The sequence below is a fragment of the Homo sapiens genome, chromosome 12 (genome assembly GCF_000001405.40).
Source record: "Homo sapiens chromosome 12, GRCh38.p14 Primary Assembly".
NCBI lineage: Eukaryota > Metazoa > Chordata > Mammalia > Primates > Hominidae > Homo > Homo sapiens.
In genome coordinates this window covers 131,559,044-131,568,922 of record NC_000012.12, presented here as the reverse complement: position 1 = coordinate 131,568,922, position 9,879 = coordinate 131,559,044, and the positions used below count along the sequence as shown (strand labels likewise).

The following is a 9,879-nucleotide window of genomic DNA, read 5'->3' as shown; positions in this document are numbered from 1 at the left end:
TAATGCATTGCTGAGCTGGAACCTGCCTCCTAGGTCTGTCTGACCTGTCCTTTTCATAATTCCACAGGGGCCGCCTTCCTATGAGAAGAATATCTCTAGGAGGGTGGATGTTTGTCCCTTTTGTTTCTGGTGCATCACCAGGGTTTGGAATGCTGCTGGGACATAGCAGTGGCTCAGTAACTGAAGAATGGACAGATGGATGGATGGATGGGTGGGTGGATGGTGAGTGGGTGGGTGGATGGATGGATGCATGGGTAGATGGATGGATGAATGAATGGTTGGATGGGTGGATGGATGGATGGATGGGTGAATGGATGGGTAGATGGTGGATGAATGGATGGATGAATTGATAGATGAATGGATGGATGGATAGGGGATGGATAGATGGATGTTTGGATGAGTGGGTGGGTGGATGTATGGGTGGATGGATGAATGGATGGATGGATGGATGAATGGATGGGTGGATGGATAGATGGACAGATGGATGGGTGGGTGGATGCATGAGTGGATGAATAAATGGATGTATGGGTGTATGGATGAATGGATGGGTGGATGGATGGATGGATGGATGGACAGGTGGATGAATAGGTGGGTGGATGGACAAACGGGTGAATGGATGATGGATGGATGACCGGTAGATGGAGAAATGGATAGAAGGTAGTTATGGAGCTTGTACATGGGCTTTCAGTTCTATTTTTTCCCCCTGATTTGTGCTTTCTGAGTTGGACTTCCTGAGCCTTTGCCAGTTCTGAGTCTTTTCCAGTTCTTTATGTATATGTATCTGTTTGTGCACATCTAAAAGGGGTGAAGATTCAGATGTCTCCAGGGGCCAGGCAGGAAACAGAAATTAAGGGAAAGAGGGGCAGGTGAGCACAATAGGGAGGGTGGCAAGGACATGTGGATGACCTGCTAAAGACATTGAATCCCAAATTAAAATAAAATAACAATAAAATAAAAAATAAACTGAATGTCACTTGACTGCATGGAGTGCTCAGTGTACCCCCTTTAGGCTGCCAGTGTCTTTTATTTGCAAACTGTACTCTTGTTAGAGATGGTTTCCTGGGGACTCAGCTGGACCCTGGTTACAGGCATCAAATGCTACCTGTGCCCTGAGTGCATCTGCGGTCACACCTAGTGCATAGGCTGCCTGGTGATGACTTCATCTGTGGATGCAGGAAAAGGAAGCATGGCCTTCTGTTTGAGAATGGAGGAGATTTGCTGCACGGCCCATGGTGCATCAGTATGTATTTTATGAAATATCGTAGTGTAATGGACCTCACACTTAAAAAAGTCCATCTTCTAGTGGGGAGAGACAATAAAAACACGAGGTCCCTATAGTTTTCCATAGAATAACAATTGGTGCTACTTGAATGAATCAAGCAAATCCTAATGTTTCTTGCATTCGTCTCTTGCATTAGAAACAAAAGGAGAGAGGATTTTCTTGGAGAACCAGTTAGTCCTCAAGTGTTCAGCTGGCCCTTGTAAGCACCGTGGCCTGAGCTTTCCTCCTTCTCATCTCCAGCTGGTGTGCCGGTGGACAGGCCTGCTGGGCAGGACAGAAGGTCTGGATTGGAAGTCATCTCTGTTCCCCCAGCCTCGTCCACCCACTCCTCCACTCTCAGAAGCTCTTTCTCGACAGATTTGCCTCCGGTTCCGGAGTACTAGGTGCTGTCCTGCGATCTGCTTTATGGTTAGAAAGTGATGTCGGGGTTTTGATTTTTTTTCTGCACCAGGTGGGTGGCTCAGTAGAGGGGAGAAAGCAGCGTGACAGCGTGGCTTGGGACGTGATTGATCAGAGAGAAAGCACACCTGCTGGTGTTGCTCGTGCCTGATTTGATTTCTGAACCAGAGTGAACCTTGTCTGAAAAACAGTCACGGAGAAGGCTCAGGTCCTGCAGTAACAGACTTTTCCTTTGTCATCCACAGTTGAGCCCTCACGGGGGCCACAGGGGCAGCTTTGGGAAGGGCCGTTCAGATGTGCTCCATGTGGACTCCCGGCTCCGTGTGCTGCAGCCGCTGATTGAGGCTGGTGTGCGGTGCCAGAGCCCAGCTCCCTCTGGAGCCAGAACTGGAGTCACCCCTGTCCCGTGGGAGGAGGCATCAGAGACAGACCCTTGCCTGTCACTGTCTGTGTTTCCTGATGTGGATCTGTCCTGGGTTGGGCAGCTTCCCTTGTACGGATCTCAGGTGAGAGGCACCCAGGCTCTGGGTCCCTTTTGAGACCAGGCTGGAGTCTGTGATGGGAGAGAGGGGGTCAGAGTGCAGGGAAGGCCCCTGCCAGAGGCCAGGTGTGTTTAAAGATGTGATTCCTCGGCTGTTAGTGTGTGTGAGAGAGCGAGTGTGTGTTTGTTTTTATCAGTAAATAAGGGCAAGGAACTGAGGGTTTGTGGGGACATCCACTTACAGCCGTATTTGGAAACAAGCCCTCATGTTTCCAAATACAGCTGTAAGTGGATGTCCCCACAAACCCTCAGTTCCTGCTCCAGGTGATTTGATAACACAGGTGGAAACCTTCCCTTGCTGGGACACTCACCCACCTCACCTGAGAAGTTCCAGGGACAACCAGTAAGAAAGTCACAAAAACCATGGTAAAATAAACAGAATGAAAATGGTACACTAAAAAAAATACCCATTTAATACAAAAGAAGGCAGTAATGGAGAAAGAGAGGAACGAGAAAGATAATTGCTTCTAAATAAAATGTTTAAGAAAGAAGGCAGACACAAAGAGTGAATAGAACATATATCATGGTGTCCATTTGTGTAAGAAAGTAGTGTATCTTTCAACAAACATTTACTGACCATCTACATTTTGTTTATTCTTTATCCACGAATCTTGCTCAATAGTGATTGAAGGTCTGCTATCTACCAGACACCCTCCTGGGGGTGGGGCTACAGGTCCCATTTCCATGGCAGCCCTCAGCCCACAGGGAGAGCAGGGGGAATGCGTGTAACAAACCACCGTCCCACCCACGACGCCGCGGCCCCTGCAGTCGGGAGTCGTCTGATGCTGCTAGGACAGGCGCTGATGGGCCTGCCATTCAGGATCCCTCTCCCCATGCAAAGAGCAGCGGCTCGGCAGCTTGACCCTTTAATTAGAGAACCAGGAACAGCAGTCAGCTGGGGGCCAGGTCAGCGTGCACAGAAAACAGCCAGCAGGGATGCCTGGGGCCCAGCCTCCCCACCTCCCTCGCAGAGGCTCATGGACCTCCCTGGGTGTCATGACCTTTGTGTGCCTGGCTGCCCCTTTGCTGTTCCCAAGGTTCTTCCCCTCTGAGCCCCTTGTGGCTGAGGAGCAAGCTCATTTTCCCCGGCTGTTTGTGTCATGTCTAAAGATCAATAACTCCATTTGCCAACTCTCCCATATGACAAAGCTCTCCGGACTATATCCACGGCTCGGCCACCTCAGTACACCCAGTGCCGAGCTTCTGCACCTCTAGCTGCATGAGGATGACACACAGCACCAGGACCCGGCGCTGCTTTCAGTCTCCCATGGAGATGGAGCCCCGGACAGGCGCTGGGGCCAGTGGCTTGAGTGGCTGCACACCTCAGCCTGCTCTGTTCTGGAAACTCGTGTTGCTGGGTTTGATGATGCACGCTTGTGTCTCTTGGGTGGGGCTTGAACGGTCAACTCTGGGCATTTGGGTTTTTTCTCTGCCTCTGGCCCAACATTAGACAGACCATAATCTCAGATATTCTACCAGAAATGAAAGAAAGTTCATCTTACCCACCAGACAGAGGGGCGGGGAGGGAAGGCTTACAGTAGGATGGCCTTGGCCACTCTAGGTATTGGTGTTGTGACTTTTCCAGTGTGAAAAAGGACCATGTGGCTGAGGCTGTTGGGTAAATATTTAGGTCAAGAGTTGTTATCTGATTGCTATTGACAGACATTTCTGTAGCACGCGTGTCTCTGGAGGCTGCCTCTTGTTGACATTGCTTAGAGAAAGCCAGCTGCTAGCCGTCTAATAACTTTACTCTTAAAACCTGCCTCTGGCTGGAAGCCGCAGGGGAATCTGCTTCTCTTTACGCGTAGAGACATTCTCGCATTAGCAATGGGTTCTTTCCCATCTTATTAATTTCTTTGTATATCTTGTAAATGTAAATTGAGTAGAGGTCAGTTTTGACTGAATAAAGAAAATAAACACCGATAGATTGGGTCCCATGGACTTAACGCTTTGGCTAATTTAATGACAAAAAGAACAAAGGGGAAAAAAGCCCTCAAACTCTGTATGCTAGATGGAATTTCAACTAGCAATGGCCCAGGAGCCAAACTGAAAAGCTCTAACACTTTCGTAGGTGTTTTCAGATATTGATTTTGTTGCCTGACTTCAGCCCTGAGATAGGGGAGATTGCTCTTCTGATGAAAACGTGTTCATTCCGGGCACAGCAGCTATATGGATTTTCTGTTCTGCCTCTTTCTTTACTCCTGAAAAATGCCATTAGATGGAATTTGGATGCTCTGGGGCCATGGCCTTCCATGTTCTGGGAGGCTCGTGGATTCCTGTGGATCGTCCCCCCGACCCCGAGGCTCCTGGAGCTGACAGAGCCGGGGGTCCCAGCAGGCCCATCCTCCATCTCTGACGTCACAGGCATCTGAGGGCAGGGCCATGCACTACGAGTCCATGATGTACCAGGCGGGGGAGCCAGTGGCCATTCTAGAAAAATTCCATCTCCAGGGCATGAAAAGACAGATAAAGATCAGTGTAACTCACCTGTGCTGAGTAACATGGTGGGTCACGGTGGGGCTCTGGAACCAGGATGTCTTGACCTGAGTCCTGAATTGGCCCCTTCCCAGCTCCGTCACTTGCCGTGAGTCCTCCAACCACCATGTGGCTTCGTGGCTTCATTTGTAAAGTGGGGCAAGAGTGTGCGCAGCTGGCAAGGGCTGAGCAATTGAATGACTTCGCTCATGTAAAACAGAGCAGGACCAGGCGCAGGGCAGGTGCATGGAAAAGGTTAACTATTGCCATCATTAGGAACCATCAAGGGGCTCACACACATGATCTCAGTGGAGGCTTCTAGCAGCCTGTGAGGGGGTGTTAGGGACATTTGGATGCCAGCAACAGACGCTGACTTGTTCTCATAAGCAGAAAGGTAGTTTATTGGAAGGATAAGGGGAGCACAATGTATCAAAGTGAAGGTGTAAAAATTAGACAAACACGATATTAGGAATTACATTATATATTGGTGTGATATATTGTGTGTGTATTGAGACTTATTTTAAGATAATTGAATATTCACACGCAGTTGTCAGAAAGAATACAGCGAGATCCCCAATACACCTCCCCCAGTTTCCTCCAAGGGTAACATCATATACGACTATAGTACATGACAGCCAGGACGTTTACAATGATGGAGTCCACCACCTTCTTCAAATTTCTGGCTTTATATGCACTCATTTCTGTGCATTTTAATCACATGTGTAGATCCTGTGACCACCAGAATCACAATCCAGAAAAGTTGTATCACAAGGATTCCTCCTGTGTTTTATTCTAACACTTTTATAGTTTTAGCTGTTACATTTAGGTCTAATGAATTTTAAGCTATATTATGTATAATGGGAGGTAGGGGTCCAAATTCATTTTTCTGCATGTGGATGTCTAATTGTTTCAATATGACTTTTTGAAGAGACAATTCTTTTTCCATTTAATTGTATTGGTACTCTTGTTGAAAACCAACTGACCATAGATGCTAGGGTTTATTTTTGGTCTCTCAATTCTAGTCTACAGATCTATATGTCTGTCCTTATGGCAGTACCGCACGGTTTTATTACAACTGTGTAGTTAGTTTCCACACAGCGAAGTGTGAGTCTTCCACCTTTGTTCATGTTTATCAAGATTTTCTGGCCGGGCGCGGTGGCTCACGCCTGTAGTCCCAGCACTTTGGGAGGCTGAGGCGGACAGATCACTTGAGGTCAGGAGTTCAAGACCATCCTGGCCAACATGGTGAAACCCTGTCTCTACTAAAAATACAAAAATTAGCTGGGCATGGTGGTGCACGCCTGTAATCGCAGCTACTGAGGAGGCTGAGGCAGGAGAATCGCTTGAACCCTGGAGGCGGAGGTTGCAGTGAGCCAAGATTGTGACACTGCACTCCAGCCTGGGTGACAGAGTGAGAGAGACTTTGTCTCAAAAAATAAATTATATAAATTATATATGTAATTAATATAATCTTTTTCTGGACATCAGTTCCCACCCCTCCAGTGTTTGTTTCTTGAACTGTTTATTGCTGTCATTGTTTTCTTGCTTTAGACTTCCCTGGACTAATTCTATACAGTCTGCTTTCTTTTTTTTGTGAAGACACGGACATGTACTTGGTTAGCTTAGTGGTCAGATAATGACTGAACAGAGATTTCCTCAAATTCCTTGAAATGAGAATTTTCTCGGACTTTGCTGAGGGCTGTGTGGGTGTGTGTTGGGGAATGCCTTCACCATCCTGGCAGACAGCTTACAGCTCTGCCTTAGCTGTTGCCCACGCTGGCAGGGAGCATCCCAGTCAGCCCAGGTGAGCAGGGGCCCTCTTAGTTCTCTCCCAGAGGACACACAGCCCTGCATGTGCACCTGGCCTTCTAAGTTCTCAGGAATATATCGGAGCTTTTCAAAGCTTTATAAGAACATGTCATTCCACAATAATTCCTTTTAATTTTTTTTGGCCAGCCTCTTCTCAGCTTCAACTTGTATTGCTGCTTCAGGCTACTACAGTAATAAACAATCCCCACTGATTTTTTAGGACAAATATCCTAGGATAGGTAGGGCTGGTGCACAGAGCAAGCTCTCATGAGGTCAAGTAGCGAGGAGAAAGTTCTTCAGTGAGAGCACAGCTCCTCAGGGAGCGGTCATGGTGGTCCGAGGACAGCGATTCACTGGGAATGGGCCTTGTGGAGAGTTCCGATCCTCTGTGTTCCTCCAGGGGCTGCCAGCCTGCTGGCTTTTTATAGCCTCTCCTTGTTTTTTAAGACTACTGTGGGGCTGGGAGAAGAGGACTGAAATTGGGCAAATTAAAATGCCACACAATTTGCTTTTCTTACCAAGATTCAGCCATTGCTATCATTTTGAGAAACGGATTCACCCTATTGCCTAGAGTGCAGTGGCACAATCACAGCTCACTGCAGCCTCGACCTCCTGGGCTCAAGCGATCCTCCTACCTCAGCCTCCCAAGTAGGTGGGACCACAGGTGTGCGCCACCATGCCTGGCTAATTAAAAACATTTATTTATTTTTTTTATTTTGGTAGAGATGGGGTCTTGCCATGTTGCTCAGGCTGGTCTAGAACTCCTGGACTCAAGTGCTCCTCTCCCCTTGGCCTCCCAAAGTGCTGGGATTACAGGCATGAGCCACCAGGCCCGGCCATTATTATTATTTTGAATAAATGCTCTTCAGATTATTGCAAGCCTTTAGCTAGTTTTCGGAGGTCTGAAACAGTCCTTTTGACATTTATTCCAGTATTCTGATTGCTTTTATGGAGGGAGAGAATTTTGGAAGCCTTTACTCTGCTATCCCAGAAGTGCTTCTAGTATCGCATTTTGTACTCAGCATTGTGCCCTGCAAAGGCAATAATGTGAAAATATTTTAAGTGGGTTGACAGTTGCCAAATATTTTCTAAACTGTTATTGTGAATTTTTACCACACATATTAATGCATGAAGGTTGCCTTTGCAGTTTAATTGCTGGAATTCTTAACCAGGGCAATCATGGACCTCCTGCTGTGTACAGATTTGCAGACAATTGAGAGTGTCACTCATCCACGACGATCCAATGCGGAGGTTTCTATTTCCACAGAGATGAAGCCACAAGCAAAGGCCTGTCCGTGTACAGGTCTGTTCTGAAGATGAACATCCTGTCCCAGAGAGAAAATGCTCCCTCTGGGAAGAGACTCCCTGGGCACCCCCTGGGTCCTTGGAGCCCTTCTGGGCCACATCTCTGCTTAGCATTGGGGGACCTGTCACACCCGAGTGGGGTGACCACGGGCTCGTGACCTGTAGGAGGCGAGACTCCAGCATTCTAGGGGGTGACAGCAAAACCAGGCCCTCAGCAGAGACCACCTCCTTCCAGAGCCTTCTGTGGCTGGGCGGGGGTCTCCAGGCAGCTCCGCAGCCCCCGCGAATACCGCCTGGTGCTGAGTCCGCTTATACAGACAGAGACGAAGGGCAGCGACACCGTTTTTCTTTTCTGAAGTGGGAGGGTCTCGTGTCCGCAGCTCAGGAGGAAAACGAGGCGCCGGCTTTGCAGGTGGGTAGGAGTTTGTGTTGTACTCGGAGGCTGGGAGCCCCTGGGGCTTCTGTAGGGAGAGGCGGTCTGAGACGCGCTTTAGAAGTTGACCTGCTGCTCTGCGGGGACTCGGTGCGGGAGACGAGTGGAGGCTGCTGCGTCATCCAGGTGAGAGGAGAGCCAGGTGCGCAGTGAGCAGAGGTGGGAGGAAAGCTGGTTGCCACGGAGATGAGGGCGTGTCCATCACTGCAAGGCTCCACCCACAGCACTATCCTGGGCGGAACCTTCCTGGCCCCACCCACAGCCTTAGCTGATTGGAGTGTGGAGTACATGTGACTTCAGGCTGTGTTCTTATAGGTCGGGTGGCCTCTCGTGCCCTGCCCATGTAGCGATGGAGCTTTTGCAGGGGATGTCCTGGAGAATCAAGGGTGAGTCCACCATCTAGGATGGTGGAGAAGAGTTATGGGGTTAGTGGGCCTGAGAAGGGACTGTGGTTCTCACCATCAGGGGCAGGGCCATGTAAGAGGGTGTGGAGTCCCTGTGAGTGGGGTGGGGCCATGTGAGTGGGGCGGGGTCATGTGAGTGGGGTGGGGTCTTGTGAGTGGGAAGGGGCCATGTGAGTGGGGTGGGGTCATGTGAGTGGGGTGGGGTCATGTGAATGAAGAGGAGCCCTGTGACGGTTGGGGTCATGTGAGTGGGGAGGGACCATGTGAGTGGGGTCATGTGGGGTCATGTGAATGAACAGGGCAGGGCCATGTGAGTGTGGTGGGGTCATGTGAGTGGGGTGGGGTCTTGTGAGTGGGGCGGGGTCATGTGAGTGGGGCGGGGTCATGTGAGTGGGGTGGGGTCTTGTGAGTGGGAAGGGGCCATGTGAGTGGGGTGGGGTCATGTGACTGGGGTGGGGTCATGTGAATGAAGAGGAGCCCTGTGACGGGTGGGGTCATGTAAGTGGGGTGGGGTCATGTGAGTGGGGAGGGGCCATGTGAGTGGGGTCATGTGGGGTCATGTGAATGAACAGGGCGGGGCCATGTGAGTGGAGCCGAGTTATGATAATGGGGCGGGGCCTCTGGTTAATTCTCCCGTTTGTCTCTGGAGATTCCTCCTCATGGCTCCCAGATGCTCAGGGCTTCTCTCCCATGGACAGAACACCTCCACGAGTCCCATGGCCTCAGCACCAGTGACCTCAGCGCTGCTGGTTCATAGAGGGCAACTTGTGCGTGCACTGGCAGGTCCTGCCTATTTAGGAAAGAGAGGTGGAGGCTCAGATGCTGGGTTCAAGACTCACCGGGGACGCGGGCACCAGGGTGCTCCCTCCCCAGCCTCTGGCTGACAGCACTGAACTCAGCCGCCTCGCCCGGCTTCTGGTGGCTTCTGGTCCACGCTGTACCCTCCTCTGTGGGCTCCGTCTCTGCAGGGTTCTCGGAGACATCGCAGCTGCTAAATGCCAAATGCAGAACCTGGGCTGTGGGTCCCGGCCTGGCTTCGTGTGCCGCGCTTTCCACTGAGAGCCGCGTGACTGGGTGCTACCTGGGGCGAGGGGGTGATGTGAAAACACTTTCTGTTCAGTTTCGGGGCAAGCTGCCCTAACTCCAGATCCCCACGCAATTCAGAGTACTTTCTTTTCTTTGGGTTTTGAAACAGCAATGCAGTTTCCTCTCTGCGTGCCTCTCCGGCTTG

The 9,879-nt window shown here is 50.1% G+C and overlaps 3 annotated features.

Moving 5' to 3' along the window:
• Window positions 1,544-2,043: an enhancer, noted in NCBI's record as "H3K4me1 hESC enhancer chr12:132051425-132051924 (GRCh37/hg19 assembly coordinates)". NCBI's record gives its function as "activates a minimal SCP1, AML or CMV promoter by ChIP-STARR-seq in primed H9 embryonic stem cells {active_cell/tissue: H9 hESC(primed)}" and the evidence as "EXISTENCE:reporter gene assay evidence [ECO:0000049][PMID:30033119]".
• Window positions 7,572-8,071: an enhancer, noted in NCBI's record as "H3K4me1 hESC enhancer chr12:132045397-132045896 (GRCh37/hg19 assembly coordinates)". NCBI's record gives its function as "activates a minimal SCP1, AML or CMV promoter by ChIP-STARR-seq in naive H9 embryonic stem cells {active_cell/tissue: H9 hESC(naive)}" and the evidence as "EXISTENCE:reporter gene assay evidence [ECO:0000049][PMID:30033119]".
• Window positions 8,072-8,573: an enhancer, noted in NCBI's record as "H3K4me1 hESC enhancer chr12:132044895-132045396 (GRCh37/hg19 assembly coordinates)". NCBI's record gives its function as "activates a minimal SCP1, AML or CMV promoter by ChIP-STARR-seq in naive H9 embryonic stem cells {active_cell/tissue: H9 hESC(naive)}" and the evidence as "EXISTENCE:reporter gene assay evidence [ECO:0000049][PMID:30033119]".